Source organism: Homo sapiens, chromosome 21, assembly GCF_000001405.40.
Source record: "Homo sapiens chromosome 21, GRCh38.p14 Primary Assembly".
Classification (NCBI taxonomy): domain Eukaryota; kingdom Metazoa; phylum Chordata; class Mammalia; order Primates; family Hominidae; genus Homo; species Homo sapiens.
The window spans coordinates 29,290,335-29,308,715 of record NC_000021.9 but is presented as its reverse complement, the minus strand read 5'-3'; the positions used below and the strand labels follow the sequence as shown (position 1 = coordinate 29,308,715).

Here is an 18,381-nt window from a genome sequence, read left to right as displayed (position 1 = left end):
GTAAAAATTACAACCATAATTCATATTCTTTAGGAGGCGAAAGCCCTAAAACTAGTTGATGGCCAAAATGACCCCCTGCAGGTTTAAGAGTTGACACACATAGTATGCATAGTAACCGAAAAGATAAAATAAACAAAAAAAGTGCTCTTCAAATTCCTAACTATACACCAACTCACAATAAAATTTGAGTCAAAAAGGGGGGTGAGGGTGGAGGGAGGTGCTTAAGAGTATAAAAAAGAATGTTAACAATTTTAATTAAATAAAACAGAAGTTACCGTAGGGCAATCAGTATATCATATGAATCACAAATTTGAAACTGTTTTATTCAAGTAGAGATACTAAACTGAAATGTCTTATTTAAAAACAACCTAATCCACTAATCCCTAACAGCCACCGTAGGGCCACAGTTTCTCAATATACATAGCTAAAACTAAAAACATAAGTCTATTTTTTACTATTTAACTTGGGAGTCAAAATAATCATTTCTAAAATGAGGATTTCCAAGCTACAGATTTGCACCAGTGATCTCAGTAACTACTTTTCATTATATCATAACCACAAGATTCAGCCAAATAAGGAACAATTTGCAGCCTATAAATAAAGCTGAAATATAGCTCAGTTTAAATAGCATCTGAGGAACTACTGAGTAGGGAAATACTATTGCATTTATCTGAGACAAAAATTATATTGGTAGTACAAGTCTTTCTAAATTCTATCCAAAAAACTAATACCAGTTCAGAAGCCTACTCTGGCCATTTATCACAGTCTATTTGTTACTCTCAAAAAGAAACAACCATTGAGCAATTCTCATTTTGTAAATTTACAACACTCAAGTGTTTAGGATTTACATTATTTGTCTGCCTTTCACAGCACAGAAAGCACCCAGACCTGCGATTGAGAAGGAACAAGAATGAAATACAAAAGTGCTTTTACACAGTGATCATACTTGTAACAACATACACAGGTGTCCCCCTTATCTACAGGGGATACATTCCAAGAACCCCAGTGGATACCTGAAACTGCAGATAGTAACAAACCCTATATATATACTATGCTTTTTCATCAAGCACAGTAAGAGATTAACAATAATAAAATACAACAATTATAACCATATACTGTAATAAAAGTTATGTGAATGTGATGTTTGTCTCTTTCTCAAAATATCTATTGTATTTAATATTTTTGGACTTCATCTGACCACAGGTAACAAACTGCTGAAAGTAAAACAGTGGGTGGGGATCCTACTGTATTTCAAAATTGCTAAGAGAGTAGATTTAAAGGTTCTCACCACACACACACACACACACAAAGGTAAGTGAGGTAATGGACATGTTAATTAGCTTGATTTAATCTTTCTACAATGTACACATACAGCAAAACAGAAAAGTTAGGAGTACTACAAGAATACTGTATAAACTTAAGGTGGCATTAATTTTAAAGTCTGAAAAGAATGACGAATAAGCTAACTACGGGACAGCTTTCCCTTCGAGGAGGGGAATGAGTGTGTAGAAAAGGGAAGATGTTCCTGTTTGTACTCCTGATTCAAGAATTTGCATTCTAAAGAATCCTGACCCATCTAGCCAATGAACTAACAATTCTATCTGAGCCAGGCTGGCCTCAGCACTCAGTGCAAGCCATAGAGACCACAGGTGGGTGTGCACTATGGACTGAGGGACAGAGTAGTCCTCTTAGTATACACATAATCAGAAACTACAAGATATAATTATATGTTCTCCTCTCCCTGAAAGGAATAAGACAATGGCAGGGAACTTTTGAAATGTTTAAAGCATTGAAAAAAAAAATTATTTCTTCTATATATATTTATTGACAAAATTGGCATTTTCAATTTTTAAATAATTTTTAAATAAACCATTGATTTGATTTGATTGTAAAAGTGCTACTTGATCATAGAAGGAAATGGCATATAAGAGGAAAAAAAGTCACCTAAAATTCCAAATCCAAAGGCAAGCACATTTTCTTTTTCTCCTCCGAAGTTTGTATCTAAGTGTAGTGGTGGCAGAACTAGTAGACAAGGATGTCACTGTTAACTGCACAACACCATTCACCCCCTCACTTTCTAACCAAACCCTGACTGTGCTCACGTATCTACTCTCAACCCGAGGCCATCAACTTCCAAGGAAGTAGACCCCAGCCACAACCTAAGATGAATCACGATCCATTTATGCCAATCACAGCGGTACTATTCCCCTTGACCTTGACTCATTTAGGCACTGGCTTGTGTGCAATGCTGACCTATGAAGAGAGGAGAGAGGGACAAGGTAGCATCTGCTATGAGGCTTTAGGGAAAAATTTTTCTCACTGATAGCAACAACCTAGGAAAAAAAAAAAAAAAGTGTGTCTTCTTCCAGGAAACTTAAGTCATATTTTCTTGTGACACTTGAACTTGTGGCAGCCATCTTGCAACCATAAGAGGAACTTGCCAAGGACAAAACAAGGACGTTGCCTGCATCTTCAACCTTTTTCCATTGACTGGATTTTTAAATACACACACACACACACACACACACACACACACACACACACACTCTTCCTGACCCAACTTCTCCCTACTAAAATCTATTTCTCTCTCCTCTTATTCACAGCTAAGCTTCTCAAATTGAGTTGATACAAGTTGTTTCCTCCACTAACCTATGCATTCATCACTAAACATCCCTAAGGCTTTCTTGATTTCCCAAAACTTAGGCTTTTAATAGTCTGTGGTTCCACAGCACATTTTACATGTTGCTACTATAGCATGCTATGGGAATAGTTTGCCTGTCTATTAGACTGTAACTTCTGAAAAGTTCATTATTGCCAATATCTGGAAAAGTTCCTGGCTTATAAAAGCCTAAACATTTGTTTCATAAGTTAAATGTAAACCAAATGCCTAACATGTAGGAATGCCACAAATATTGACATGAATTTAGCAACCCTACTGTCCACATACACTGAAAGTTAAGTATGCGTTCATGTGAGTTGGGGGAGAACAGCAGCAGGAACAGGGAGAAAAGAGAACACAGTGCCTTAGCCTTGAAACTTAAAAACACAGTTTTTCCTCACTCTTCAGAGATTAGAGAGCTGTTCCAAGCTAATTCAACAAAAAAGAAGAGGCTGTTTCCACACTGGCATCTGAGAAGCAGTGGTAGGATAGCTCTCTAGAATCTCAGCTCCTCTGCTATTTGTGACCACTGTTGCCAACCTGCTCAAAGAAGAAAAGGTGGCCCAGCCTTTCTGGGGTCTGGAAAAAGACAAACTAGTCCAAAGACAGGAGGCCCTCAGAGACAAAATATACTTTTTAGAAATCTAAAAAAAAATACCTATAGTTTGAATAGCACTTGTGACAGTCTTTTACCACAAAGAGACAACGAAGTAGGGAAAGTTAATCGTAATTACATGCTCATCCCCAAGCAGCATTTCCTTTGACTTCTCTGGATGACAACTGAAACTGAAGGCATGCCAGCAAAGAATCCGAGTGAGCTGGGCAAAATGCTCTCTACTTCAACAGTCTTTTGCTAATGTGAAAGAAAAAAAAAAAAACAAGATTACAAAAGCCAAAAGCTTTTTTTTTTCTTACCTCTTTTAACCTGAATTATGACTCTTACCTAGGGGAGTACCCAAGGCCAGGCTGAGATACACCTCAGAAAAACAGTTGATAAAGAGACATCAGGTACACTGGAAATTGAAGAGGCCTGGGCCAAGATCAGATAACCACTGTACATTTTTTAAAATAATATTTAAATATAAAATACACATTAATGAAATTACAACCTAATAAATTTATTCAATCTTTTATAGCCACATATTTTATAACAAAACTGTCTGATGGATGAGCAACTGCACTAATTTAGCTGACTTCTGAAAGACGCTGGCACACTTTAGAAAATGAATAAGGCAATAAGCATGTGAAGATATCAGTAAAGAGGAAGTTGGGTGGATAGGTCGCCCTATTTCTTCAATAGGACCCTCAGGAGTTCACCTCCTTAGGACAAAAACACCTCCCTAGGGTCCTGGAGGCAGACAAATCAATAAAAAGAAGAGATAACTGGAAAAAAGGTGTGTAGGGGGAGGGAGGGACATTTCCCTTACTATACTATTTACTCTACAGCCTTAGAGGTAGGCTATTACTAATGTCCAGGCTACAAAGGAATTGAAAACCTTTTTTAGTGTAATTCCACTTTAATGAGGGATGGGGAAGTAGAGTGCAACTGTCCACTGACTGATCTGATCTAAAAAAATGATAAATTTAAAAAGTGAAAAAAACTTTACCTGAAAGAAACTGGGAATAATTAGGGGCCAGGCACAGTGGCTCACGCCTGTAATCTCAGCACTTTGGGAAGCCAAGGCGGGTGGATTGCTTGAGGTCAGGAGTTCGAGACCAGCCTGGCCAACATGGTGAAACCCATCTCTACTAAAACACAAAAATTAGCTGGGCATGGTGGGGGGTGCCCCATAATTCCAGCTACTACGGAGGCTGAGGCAGAAGAATTGCTTGAACCCAAGAGGCGGAGGTTGCAGTGACCCGAGATCGCGCCACTGCACTCCAGCCTGAGCGACAGAGTGATACTCCATCTCAAAAAAAAAAAAAAGAAAAAAAAAACTGGGAATAACTAGTTTATTACAAAAATATTAGTTTGAACGATGACTTTCCTAAGGCACTGCAAAAAGTGTTTACATTTATTTTTCAAATAACATGATCTGCACAAAATTTCAGCTGCATTAATGTAACATTTTCTAAATTGTGCCCGTACTGAGAAGGAACCAGCTGCCAGCCAATTTCACTGCATGCCCACTGTGTTTCTACACTGGTCATTAACAACCAAGATTCTGGCTACCACTATTTCTTCTTCCTCACGTTTGCTTCAGGGCAGTTTTTTATTATCCTATGAATATTTGAATATTTTCTAACCTGTCCCTGATCCTAAATAAAACAAAGAACCTGTTCTAGAGGAGTGATATTCAAAGTATTAGACATATAAGACATTTAACATCTAGAAAACCAAATTATATTTTGCTCAATTCAATTCTAATCCAATTATGGGTAAAAATAAGTCACAAGACAAGTTTTATGTCTATCTTAGGAGATGAACTAGAATTACTTAATTCCAGCTGCCTTCTCAATAATCACACCAATGATAAAAACAGAAAGTAGAAAGCTAAATAATCAAAAGAATTTCAACTCAGTGCACACTTACAAGGTACCACACACGATGTTCTCTCCTTCAATCTGTTAAACATTCCCAAGTTTCAAAATCACAGAACTAGAATGAACGCATATCATACCACCCAGTTCAGCAACCAACAGTTTATTAAAGAAACACAGCCAAGGCACATTCAGAGTGCCATAGGAGATAAAACAGAAAGACACAGATTCTCACCATCAGGAAACTTACAATCTGGCTGAAAGAATGGTCAAAATAACACAACCTTTCTGAATTACTAACAGGTACAAAAAGCTATACGATAAATATGTCCATTGTATTCATATCCATTTCATGGATAATTTTTCTGTATTAGTACAGGCATATCATCTAAAGAAAACATAATACTTAGAAGAAACTAATTAGCTTACAAATTTACATTCTAAATGTTTCCAACAAACTGGATAGGGCCCAGGAATATGTACTGAGAAACTAGTTCTGTTCTGGTATTAACAAGAAGGGAGGGGTGGACAGGTTACTAAAGCTGCCAGGCCACAATGTCAACTACAACGTGGAAAAGACTAGCCAAAGAATGGCAAGTGTTTTTATTTCGTAAAAGCCAGTTTCAATTAACTGGTTAGTGACTACCTCAAGCACTCCGCTGAGACTGTTAAGATTCCTTTAAGTAAAAAGCTATGTCCTGTGTTCGTTGCCCTCAGAAGTTGGATGTATGTTTGAGATGGTGCTACTGACTTAACATAAGAGTGTTCCCCGGGTTGTTTTTCCAGTCTCACTTGTGATCAATGCCGGCAATTCAGCTCTCAACAGCTATAAAACACTACTGTGTAACTAAGTACTTCCCTGATTCTGAACAACAGATAATAACACCTAACACTTGATGTTTCTTATAAAGCTGGCACTGTTCTAACCACTTACCCCGTATTAACGCATATAATCCTCACAACAACCTCTCTGATACAGATTCTACTATCACCACCCCTGTTTTACAGAGGAAACAATGAGGCACTAGTTACCAGGTAGAAGAGCTTGCCCAAGGCTTTAAAGTGGGTGACACAACCAGAACCTGACCTTAAGCAGTCTGGCTCCAGAACTACTTTTTAACCATTCTGCTTACTGCTTCTTTGTCAACTGTACAGTGATCAAACCCAGACTTCAGTTATGTTAGTGCACTGTGTAAGCCAGGTGCCTGGGCTTCAGGAGAGTGTAAGTCAATGTTTTAGCTGCAGTCCTGAAATGTTTACTCCCTCCAAGGGGCACGGATTCTGGCGAATTGCACTCAAATTACCCATACCTTGGCCATCGGTACATTACCTCATTTGACATATATTTTAAATCAAAACAATCTCAAAAATCATCGTTCCACCACATAAAATAAACCCTCTGTCTAGAATGCTCAGGGAATGCAGGTTTTAGGGTTAAGACAATTCTCTCATTAACAGAACATTAGTCAGAAAATTAGAAGAGAGGTGGTGATTCCTAAAACGTAAGTCATGGAGAGATCAGCACTATGAAGAGAAAATCTGACAAGTGGTAATTTTAACGGGCTTTGCAACTGTTATTCTGAGCATCACCTCTCACAGTACAGGGGTGTAGAAGGCACATGGCACATGAGATTTAACTGAATGGTAAATACTAACCACCCTCACCGCCGCCACCCGCCCCCAGCACTAGTAGGAGGTTGATATTCTGAATAAATGCCACTTCCCAAGGGATTTACTGAATATGTCGTCTTATTAATCTTAAGAGAACATAAGCTTGGCAAAAAACAAACAAAAAAAAACAGACTTCAAGGAGTAACAGTACAAACTAATTTTTACATATGCTATACATATTACACTCCAATGTGTAGATTATCTTCAAGTATTTCCACTGCACCCTTTTACACATCACTGCACTTCAGATCACATACATTAAACCAACCGCTGGGCTTGTCTCCAAATTCAAAATACAGGTTATCAAATGAAATTCTGTATTTTTTGTATTTCCATCCCCAGTATCAACAATGTAACAAGAAATTTACACTCAAGCTTCTAAAGTAAAACATACAGACAATAGAACTACCTATAAAATAAAACTTAAATGGAATATTAACAGTCTGAAAGAACTCTTAGGAGGAAACCGTAAGTTAAAAGAAAAAGCATTCCGGTTGTTGAAAGAATGTTACTGACAGTGGTTAACAGGCTATGTTCCCCCAGCAACAAAGGGGTGGAGGACATGCACGCGCATTATATAATATGAATACACGATTGTTAGTCTGCATCTTTAAGCTTAATGTCTTTCTTATATTAAAGTTTTTAAAAGTTTTAATATATTCCTTCCAAATGAACCTCCTTGCACCCCACCTTGGAGGCCCTAATACTTACAAAATTCATGATTTCTAATCTCCTCTAGTCCCAGACTTAAAGGAACAAAATAAATCGTTTTTCCTAATACAGAATATTTTAAATGAACTACCATTAATAGGAATCATCATTTTTTTCACCAAAGGGCCAAATTCCCAGCTCTACATTTCCCATTCCTAAACTTTGTTTGCAATGAGGACTCATATAAATATTTGGGTTGTGTGCTCCTTTTTAAAGCAAGAAGCAATGACACCAGGTGTAAAGGCAGTGGTGTCATATAATCAAGACAATGAGACAGGTATTTACGGTTGGCTATTTATTAAACAGCTCTTTCGAGACTTAACCCAATGAGACCTATTAATTCCACCCATATGGTGCTTACCCTCCTCTGACTCCTGAAACTTCTTGTGTATGCATGAAAAGCCAAGGGCCATGAGAAACAGAGCAAGTCCCTTCTGTGTACTCATAACCAAATTTTTATGACGCACAAATTAAGCTCACTGCTTGAAACTTATAGACCACGTAACAGAAACCACAAAAAGGAAACTAAGTCCAGTAAGAGTAGTAAATATTTTTGTTACAATATTTTTTATTGGGTTACCCCTAGCTGCAAATTTCTTCCCCAGTTTTAGCTCTCTCCAGCGCAAATTTATTCTCAGACAGCAGGTCACGAGGCTCCGTCTTTAAACCCGCCTCAGTGCTATTGGCCACTGCCTAAGAGTGCTCTTCCACTTCACCCACTGATAACCTGTATCAAAACAACCCCAGCTGGGTCCCCTTCAGCCTTCTGAAGCAACCTCTCTAGAGCGCTCTTTGGCCTTTTATAGTGGAGGCATGTGATGAGAGTATTTGCACCAGCTGTTTCTAATTACCTCTCAAGCTGGGGCGAATGACTCAGCAACCCAACTTTTTAGAGAGTCATCCTACCTTGTTAACCAACCAACATACCGAACAACAGTAAACCACTTGACAGAAACATAGGTTAAACAACAATACAAGAATCACTACGCCAAAGTCACCCTACTCCAAGCTGACTCACCGGGAGCCTTTCTTCCCTAAGCTTCTTCAAGATGTCCAAAGGCAGAAGTGGCAAGTGCCTTCAAGCCCAGCCCAGCCCTTGCACCACTACCCAAAGACCAGGAAGAAGCAAGCCGACCTCTTCCCATTTCTCTGCTTGACTATGTGAAGCGCTCAAGTGCTCTGCCACTAACACATCTGGGATTTCCACCCTTTATCCTTCTGAACTGCATTCAATGCAGACCCTCTGATGTAAAGGGTGTTCAAATACATGATCAAATTCCCATAGCATCATCCATGGGTAACAGTCCCTACCCCTACACAATTCTCCAAAAAGCAAAGCATCCTACAAAACATTCTTTGTTCCTCCAAGCATGACATTGTAGCTCGTTTTCCTCATACACGTTCTTTCACAATTACTACTACACTTTACCTGGAATCAGCACAAGTTTAACGCAGAAGCCTCACTCCATAAAAGCATTCCGCACAATTCTACTCAATGACATGAAACTGCCGTGTAAGAATGAGAAAGCAACGGCACTCGTGTTACATTACACGAGCACAAAGCTGGTGTCTCCAGAATCAACGCCCACTCTCACCATATTGTGCGAGGCTTAATTACAACGCGTGGGCAAAACTCCAACAAAGGGAGTCCTGGGCTCTCCGGTCCCCAAAACCAGTCTTCGCTAAATCCAGCTCAGCACGGTGGCCTTCTCTCCCCAGCCACAAACTCGGCTTTTCTTACGCGATTCCACGCGCGACAGCCACCGGGCTGAGTAGACGCGAGGCTGGGCATGCGGTGGGAGGCGGCGGAGGACAATACGGGGCCCCAGCCGCGAGGGCGGTGCTGATGTGTCACAGCCCGGGCGGGCCGCGGGCGAGGGGCCGGGCTGGCGCCCGAGGGCAGGGAGGGGGGTGGGGCAGGGACCCCGCGGCCCCCAGCCCCCGCCCGCCCCGGGTAAAGTACGGCGCGCGCGGGTAAACAACAGCTCCGGCAGTGCAGGGGGTTCGGCCGCCGACGGGACGCCCCTTCCGGCGTCGCGGCCACTTCCAGGATCCCGGCCGCCGGCGCCCCCCGCGGGCCCCGATACGTGCCCCCCGCGCCCCGCCCAGCCCAGAAAGAGCCGCCCCCGGCCCGCCCGCGCCTTCACTGGACCTGTCCGCCGGCCTCCCCTCACAGGCCCGCGGCCCTGACCGCGCCAACCCTCCCGGAGAAGGGCCGGCGGGACGGCCGAGCCACTCACCAGAGCTGAGGCGCGGCGCGGCCCGACTGACTGAAGCGAGAGCGCCCGGCGGGCGGCGAGGGCAGCGGTCAGGTGACTCACTCCTTCCGCGCGGCCAGCCGCCCCCTCCCTTCTGCGCCGCTCTGCTGCCGCCACCTCGCGGCGCCAAAACCCCGCCCGCCCGCTGAAGGCCCCGCCCCCGGCGCCGAAGCCCCGCCCTGCCGCCCTCGAAGCCTCTGTCAGCGAACGAGCGCGCGCAATAGCGCGGGGCAGGGGTCGCCGCGGCCGGAAGCCCACGCGGGGGGTTGCAGGGACGGGTCGTAAGGGGCGGGGCGGGCCTCGAGGAGGCGGCGGTGGGGTCCCCGGACCTCCGCGCGTGGCACAGCCCGCATCCTGAACTGACTCCCACTCGAGGACCACCTCTCCTCTCCCTTCTGAGGGCGGAACGGAAAGGCCAAGCGCCTCCTCGCCTCGGGAGCTGCAGGACGCCCTAATTCAGCCGAGTCGCCGCGTGCCCGGGTGCCCGCGAACAGCAGGAGAGAGGACGGGCGCTGGCCCCACAGGGGTCGCTTTACCCCTTGAAGAGCTCCTCGCTGCCTGCCCTGGGGGTGGTGGGCGTCCAGGTTCACAGGGTACTTGAGCTTGCTGGGGTGGGGGTGTGTATGAAGTGCGTCCAGGGTTTTGTGGAGCGCGTCTAGCAGTTGCTCTACTTCTTACTGACAGTGAAACAAGGGCGCCCACGACAGGTGTTCCCTTTTCGCTGTCGCTGCCAGGAAGCTTCCAGCCAGGTTCAGCGCCCAGTGGTGTCAGCCGGCCCATCTCGAGCCTTGGTTCCGCTGTCATCTTCTGGTGCTTATTCTGGTGTTTATCCAACTGTCCGTTTTGAAATTATGTTCCCAAGCCATTTAACACCTCTGGAGAACCAAAGCACTGGCTGTCAGCGGAGCGGGATGCACGCGCAGCGGAGGGGACTGGGCACGCCAACCCCACGAGGGTTCCTGCGGAGATGACACGGACCTTGAGGTCTGAAGCCAAAGGACGATTTGTGTGAAGGGATTTTATTGTTAGCTTTGGAGCCAGCAACAAGAACACAGCCCTGGAGTTCCCGGGGCAAAAAGGATACCAAGATAATAATTCAGGTATTACGACTAACATGACTGCATTTGCACCCACAGGCTGTGGGACTTGGGGACGTTTGAGCTACATCCAAAATACATGAGAAAATCACACAAGTGAAATTGGATGAGAGTGCGAGGGGTGAAGTGATACATTATGACCTAGAATTAGGGGAGGCTTCCTGGAGCAGGTGACATTTGCATTGGGTCTTGATTGGGAAGAGTGGAACCCAGCAGTCTAGATAGGGTCCAGAGGTAGGAGGTACCTCGCATCCCAGGCTGCCTCAGTTCATGGTGAGAGTGCAGATATTTAGTGAAACAGGAGGAAAGGACACTTGGAAATACACCATGAAAGAAGGATTGAAGTTCTTGCAGACACATGGGAGTGTCCGAGGCTTTATTCTCCTTCCACCTTGAGCCAGTGGAATTGCAGTGTCTTTTTTCTACACCTATGCAGTTTTTTCTACACCTGTGCAGTTTTTTCTAGGGGAAGATCAGACCCTCCTCTTTGGGAGGAACTCTTGCTTCTTTAGATAATAGCAGTGACATTTTCTAGCCTGAAAATTATGATGTATGCCCTGATAGGTTTAATTATTTGAGAAGTTCTCACAAAGGTATACAGATGTGCTAAGAGTATCAAGTCAAGTGAGTGACTCTCAAGCTTCATTATGGGGAAGAATATTTGGTTTGCTTGTTAAAATGCAGATTCCGGCCGGGAGCAGTGGCTCATGCCTGTAATCCCAGCACTTTCAAAGGCCAAGGCGGGCGGATCACGAGGTCAGGAGATCGACATGGTGAAACCCCGTTTCTACTAAACCCCAACATGGTGAAACCCCGTTTCTACTAAAATACAAAAAATTAGCCAGGCATGATGGTGTGCGCCTGTAGTCCCAGCCGCTCAGGAGGCTGACACAGGGGAATCGCTTGAACCTGGGCGGTGGAGGTTGCAGTGAGCTGAGATCGCGCCACTGCACTCCAGCCTGGCGACAGAGCAAAACTCTATCTCAAAAAAAAAAAAAAAAAAAAAAATGCAGATTCCTGGGTCCCACCCCCAAAAGATGCTAATTTTGTAGATCTGAGTAGGACCTAAGGGTCTGCATTTTTAATACTGAAGCATGTGGTCTTCAAGCTTATGGCATGTAGTAGGGACAGGACGAAAAATGAAACTGGAGAATGAAATGAAACCGAGTCAGTATGAGAAGGGCCTCATGCACAGCACCTGGAGTTTGGACTTCATCCCGTGGTCTGCAATAAGTGAGTAGAGGTTTCTAAGTCATGTGGTTATTTTTAAAAGCTAATTCTAGTATTGAGAAGGAATGGGAGTGGAAACAGATAGTAGGTTGAATGAAGGAATGAATGCAGTAAAATGCTCAGTGAAAGATGTGGCACTTTTTGTTTTCAGTATTCTCTTGCTTTGAACCAAAACCACTTAGAATGTATTTCTTTTAAAACCTGTATGTCAGTGTAAATATTCACAAACAACTGTATGTTCTGACCTATGTCTTCTGGACTTCCAGAGTTAGCATTAACATTATTAGCTGCCAGGCCAACAAAACCTTGAGTAATCCTGCAATACTCGGAATCAAGAAAAGTGGCTACATCATGGTCAACTTTGAAGAACATCAGCCTCAAGATCTTTTATACTAACTCATATGTTTATTAAAATCTATTACTAAAACAGATTTTTAAAAATTATCTTGAGGTTATAATGAGACATAGTGCTTCTACCTAATTCCTATTGGGAAAAAAAAATGTTGAGATTTGGGGACCAAGAAAAAAAATTCTGATCGCTTTTTTTTTTTTTTTTTTTGAGATGGTGTCTCTCTCTGTCACGCAGGCTTGGAGTGCAGTGGCATGATTTTGTCTCACTGCAACCTCTGCCTCCCGGGTTCAAGTGATTCTCCTGCCCCAGCCTCCTGAGTAGCTGGAATTTCAGGCACCCACCACCAAGCCCAGCTAATTTTTGTATTTTTAGTAGAGACAAGGTTTCACCATGTTGGCCAGGCTGATCTCAAACTCCTGACCTCAAATGATCCACCTGCCTTGGCCTCCCAGAGTGCTGGGACTACAGGCATGAGCCACCGCTCCCAGCTGATTGCTTTCAATTAGTATTGATAATAGTTTGAAACTGGGACAAGTAGCCTAGTCTTGGCAGTCTTTCTGCTCCTTAGCTCAGCTAGGTCCAAGTTCTTGTCTCACAACCAGGAAAAACTAGGCACACAGACACCGGAAAGTGAGTGGAGTGGAATTGATTAAGCAAAAGGAAAGCTCTCAGCAAAGAGCGAATGCTGGGAGCAGTTCCCCTACCCGAAAGTGGGAAAATCCCCTCTCATGTGGCTGAGCCTGGGGCTTTTATGCACTCAGAATGGGGAGTGCATGCTGATTGGTTTGTGAGTTTGCAAAAAAAGGTTAAAGCAAAGACACCACTCAAAGGCAGGCACGACAGTGTAGAAAACCAATTAGAAAGGGTAAGTATACGTAAAATAGGTGAAGGGTGGAGATCAGAGGAAAGCGTGCCAAACAGGAAGACAAGTTCTCAATCTAGTCTGAAAATTTAACTTGTAGTTTGGCTTTCAGGCTTTAAACTGTCTTCAGCTTGGAGGTGGGGTTTCACCGGGGACCTGCCTCTATCTGCCTAGGCGTTTGACTGTCTTCTGTTGCTGTCACTAGTAGCACAATATAAAGATTTTGTGCTACTGTTTCACAGTGATTTGCAATTAGTGCTTTTTTTTGTCATGTAGTTTTGTTTTTAGTGCATTATTCTTTAGGAGAATTTATCCGTGAAGCTTGGGTATCACAGCTTACTGCTATGTCCTTGATTTATACTTCTCATTGACTGTGAGAAGTGATGGCTAGTTTTCCTGCTGTGAGCAGGTTTGGTGATATACAATACCATTCGCAAGATGTTATATATGTGCATTGTCACATTTCTTTCAAAAATGATATTTCCAATTTTTCCAAACATTCATATCTTCTTTCTGGCCATCATACTGATTTTATTACCAAAATAAAATCTTATCATTAACTCTGAAAACAATTTAAATAACTATAAGCCATAGTTAGGGAATGATTTTTAATAAAACCTAGATACAAACACCATCATTTTCTCCTCTAATAGCAGGTTGTCTTGCCTGACTCTCAAAAATGAGGGAGCTAAATCATACAGATAGGTGACATGTTCATGGCTATAAGGAACACCATAGCATAATATTTGGACAGTAAGACATAATACATATCCTGAAAAAACTTTGATGTGTAGTCAGTGTAACCCTTGTCCCCTGTCCTCCTCCCTAACCTCAGGAAAGATCCACACTTCCACATTTATTCCCTACCCACCTTTGGTTTTGAATCCTCATTTCCACAGATGCAGCATGACATCTGTAACCCCTACAAATCTGCATACCCCTCCAGCCTTCCCAGAACTTCATTCCCTCCATCTTCATTGCCTTAGCTCCTTTTGTCTTTAAGTATTCACTCACTAAGTCAAGAAAATATTGGAGGGGGGGTGGGGCAAAACAACTAGGCTTTAAAGGTGGGGGATTACCCAGATCAACACAAGTCTCCCACTTGAACAACTGCTCTTTGACACCTGTACCCTGAGATGTGACTATGGATTAAAGTCATAGCACCCCTGCCTCCAGGTTGGAAAGTTTTATGGAAAATGAACATATTTTATTAGAAGACAATGAGAACTTCCTGGAGCAGATGAGTAAACACACCCTCATGTTTACCTGATAACTGAAATCAAAGATGAGGTGTAGCCTCTGGTTTGAAATGTTACAAAGTGTAAAATTAAGATAAAGGCAGAAAAATGAAAAGGAAATAGCCAGTTTTGAAGCAGAAGAACTCAGTGGGACAGGGGCCAAATCAGTGAAAGAGGTGCTGCTCAGATACCAGATTTAATGACAACCAAAGTGGCCCAAATATCCAAAAAAAATTGCGCTTCTGAAAACCAGTAGGAGGTTGCAGTGGACTAAAGATGGCCACAAAATTTTTATCGTTTTCCCCGTCAAGAATGGGAGTTTATTTTTCATCATCTTGAATCTGGCCCTGTGACTGCATCACCAAGAAGACACTGCAGAAGTGATGCTCTGCCAGTTCTGGTTCTAGTCTTTTAGAAGACTGTTAGCCTCTACTTCCTCTTTCTTCAAATGAGCTCTCTTGGGACACCCTCTCTCAGAACCAAACCACCATGCATGGGGCATGTGTGGCCTCTTCACTCAGGAGCCCCAGCAGAGCAACCAGCCAGTACTGAGCATCAAGTGCCAGTCATGTGAATGAGCCATCTAGGATGTTCTTTGGTCAAGTCTATACAAAAGAACTTACCAGCTGAGCCCAGCCAACACATAGAATTATGAAATAGTAAAATGATTATTGTTTAAAGTCATGAAATTTTGCAGTTTTTTTAATATAGCAATAGATAACCAAAATCAAGATTAAATAAAATATCAGATGATTAAAATGGAGCATGAAAATGGAGTTAACTTTGTAAGAAGAACCACAACCCCAATGATCATGACTTAGAGGAAAGTTCAGTAAATAAAACAGAAAATATTGAAAAAGGCTGTTTCATTTTAAACCTGTGTCAAGCTCCTAGACCTAAAATGACACTTGAAATTGTCCTCCATTAGAATTCATTGTGCTACAGATTTTCTCTCATTCTGTTACATATATTTATTTAATGAAGTAGAGAAATTCTTCTCTCATAAGCTAATGCTGCAAGGTGTTTTTATATGTATTATATGTATATGTACATACATATATTTTTTATATTAACATAACAGTTTATAATAAATGTTTAAGTGTTTTATAATAATATTTATACATTTATCACCATATATACACACACACAAATATATGTATACACACACATATACATACATATAAATGTCTGGGGATAGAAAGTGAGACCCTCAGAATCTTGGATGTAGCCTGACTGCTCTGCACCCAACTGGGGAGGAGTGAGGGGAGAAGAAAGTAGAGTTCCAGCCAGAAAGGTGACAGAAGACTGCCCAAAGCTTCATGTAACCAATCCCTCAAGCCTGCGGAAAAGTTACTAAATGTTTGGTGCCAGTGCCTTCCTGCAGAGTCAGTGATGCTTATGCTTGGTACTGAATCAGAGACAGCACCTTCAACCATAGTCACACGTCTGCAAAAGACAGAAAAATCCAGTCTGATAGCTTTGTTCTATGTATTTGTTCGTGTTTACACCAAGGATTGTAGCCTGCAGCTCCTGATCTTTTATTCTGAAACGTTCTGGAAGTAGTAAAGGCTACTCTATAACATACTTGTTTTAATAAATGTATTCTCCATTTTTTAATGCAAAACTGGCACAACCAAGAGAGGTGCCATATTTTGACTCATATTTTTACTTCACCTCTTCATATAACACTTCATTCAGTGTCCTCAATCAGGTTCTCATTCAGGTTCTCAATAGAGGCCAATTTTGCACCCCCCACCCCCTGCAGCAGGAGATATTGTTATGGGGTGGGTGGTTCTAGCCTCTAGGAGGTAGAGGCCAGAGATGCTGCCAAACATTCTACAATGCACAGGACAGTACCCATGGATAAAATACTTTGTGAATAAGGATACGTTATTCGCCATTCAGAACAAATAATTATCTCGCCCAAGTTTCCACAGAGCCAAGGCTGAGAAACCCTGACCTAAAGATATTCATGCCCCAATATGAGAAATGTGCGTATACATTAAAAGAAAGTGTAAAGGAATAAAGGAACAAAGTGGAAATCAAAAAATGGAATCAGGAAAGAAGCTAAAACATACATATTGCAAAACATGTATCTTTGATAAAGATGAGCTACAGATTTGTCTATAGCTTCCTGGCATCTGGGTAAAAAGATAAGCCAGATAATTCAATCATGAGCTAACTGAGGTCTGAGTGGCCACCATGAGAAGAAGTACTGAACTCCTAGAGGAGAGACCGTAGACACAGGTTGTCATCATAACAGCCTATTCCCTGGACTGAGGTGCCATACATAGGGATCACTTTGGAAAGGGAGGAAAATGATTCACCTGGACTGAGGTGCCATACATAGGGAGCACTTTGGAAAGGGAGGAAAATGATTCATCTTTGAATAAGAACTACTGGATCAGAGGAGAGAGATGGTTATTAGCATGAAGAGATAGAACAGTCAATTGATTAGGGGTGCTGGGTTTTCAGCCTTGATCGCTCCAGATTCCCTCTCCAGCCTCCTCCACACTTCTCTGTACCCTAGGAGGCAGGCCTTTTAGGATGGTATTCATGGATTCCCCATGCTCCCTCACTTCTGGTTGATACGGATAACGGCAGATGTCTACAGGAACTCAGCTGTCTACCTGCCAGGCCAAGGGTTGGCTATGGCTGTATTCCTCTACCAAAGTCCCCAGCTCCTGCCAGGCCACCTTCACCTACAGCTAAAGCCAAAGCAACATCACTCTAAGGGTAGTGGTATCTCCCTACTTTGGTTAGCCCTAGGGTGCATCACCCCTTTGGTGGGTTCCCTGCCCTCATCCTTGTAAATGGTTCCATCTGTTTTCTATCAGTTCCCTGACTGATTCACCAGATCAAGACTTGGGGGTAAGGAGAGTGACTATATTAACACATCAAAGGAAAGAATGTGGATGTAGTAAAGAGAAGCTAAATCAACTCCTAAAGCCAGTGAAGGGAAAGCTAGAGGTACAAATAGGAGCATCATATCCCTTGCCCTGCCTGGGACTCAGTATTTTACTCCTGGGCCCTGTTAACCTGCAGGACAGGAGAAGGATGGAAGCACAGGCTACCATGGTTTGGTTCTACTACATTAGCTATAGAGGTCTTCCAACCTGGATTTCTCTTTGATTTCTTTCCAATAATTATTTGCCTTTACATGTACATTTACCTACTGGAAGAGATGGGTTGGTTAATAAGCATCAATATTTGAAACACTTGTTAGCTATATCCTCATTGTAAATCAATAAATTATCTTTCCAGTGTTCCCCCTGCCTCTGCAGCTTCAGGTGAATGTGCATCCTAAAGCTGTTATCACCACCAATGTGTCTATAGTTCAGTTTTCTGCATCAGCAAGTTCAAAATCATGGTGAGATGACAATCCTGCAGTGACCTGGTTCAGGTGGTTCCTACTTCATGGAAACACCCTCTTTATTAATCATAGTAGCTTCAGGACTGACCTTTAGATCAGGGATGCTTTATTTTCCATACACTTACCTTGCCCTTAATCCCTTTGTGACAGACACTGCTTTGTCTACCCAATATCCCTTTCTTTCTAACATAATCCTGATTAAATGTGCAATGTACCAACTTAAAACATGCCTTTCCAGATTGCATTAGCTATGTGACCTAGTCCTTCTCAATCACATATAAGCAAATATGGACTCAATACAATTTCCAGGAAAGTTTTTACTTTCCTGATAACAAAAGGCTGAATCAGCTGCGCTTATGCCCTCTGTCCACCTTCCTTGAATGACTGGAGGAGGAGCTCTTTTCTTTCAATCATGAGGATGAAAACTACAGGCTAAGCATAGCAGAGCA

At 42.6% G+C, this 18,381-nt stretch overlaps 1 protein-coding gene and 1 long non-coding RNA gene across 4 annotated transcripts in view, besides 3 other annotated features; one reads left to right on the top strand and one right to left on the bottom strand.

Moving 5' to 3' along the window:
- The window catches only part of BACH1 (BTB domain and CNC homolog 1), a 62,973-nt gene extending 53,179 nt beyond the window's left edge, over positions 1–9,794 (bottom strand). The window contains exon 1 of one of the 3 annotated variants that reach the window (NR_027655.3): positions 3,394–3,512. The gene's annotated coding sequence lies outside the window, so the exon portion shown is untranslated. Of the gene's footprint in view, positions 1–3,393; positions 3,513–9,117; positions 9,342–9,762 lie in introns of those variants that run through there. The other 2 variants (NM_001186.4, NM_206866.3) reach the window with 2 other exon arrangements.
- Positions 6,114–6,408: a silencer, noted in NCBI's record as "tiled region #12458; K562 Repressive DNase matched - State 5:Enh". NCBI's record gives its function as "represses a minimal TATA promoter and a strong SV40 promoter by Sharpr-MPRA in K562 cells {active_cell/tissue: K562}" and the evidence as "EXISTENCE:reporter gene assay evidence [ECO:0000049][PMID:27701403]".
- Positions 8,020–8,129: an enhancer, noted in NCBI's record as "active region_18348". NCBI's record gives its function as "activates an Ori minimal core promoter by ATAC-STARR-seq in GM12878 lymphoblastoid cells {active_cell/tissue: GM12878}" and the evidence as "EXISTENCE:reporter gene assay evidence [ECO:0000049][PMID:35858748]".
- Positions 9,360–10,269: a silencer, noted in NCBI's record as "silent region_13238". NCBI's record gives its function as "represses an Ori minimal core promoter by ATAC-STARR-seq in GM12878 lymphoblastoid cells {active_cell/tissue: GM12878}" and the evidence as "EXISTENCE:reporter gene assay evidence [ECO:0000049][PMID:35858748]".
- LOC105369299 (uncharacterized) lies at positions 9,980–12,538 on the top strand. The gene is made up of 2 exons (XR_937652.3): positions 9,980–12,110; positions 12,374–12,538. It is a non-coding gene; the product is annotated as an uncharacterized LOC105369299 (long non-coding RNA).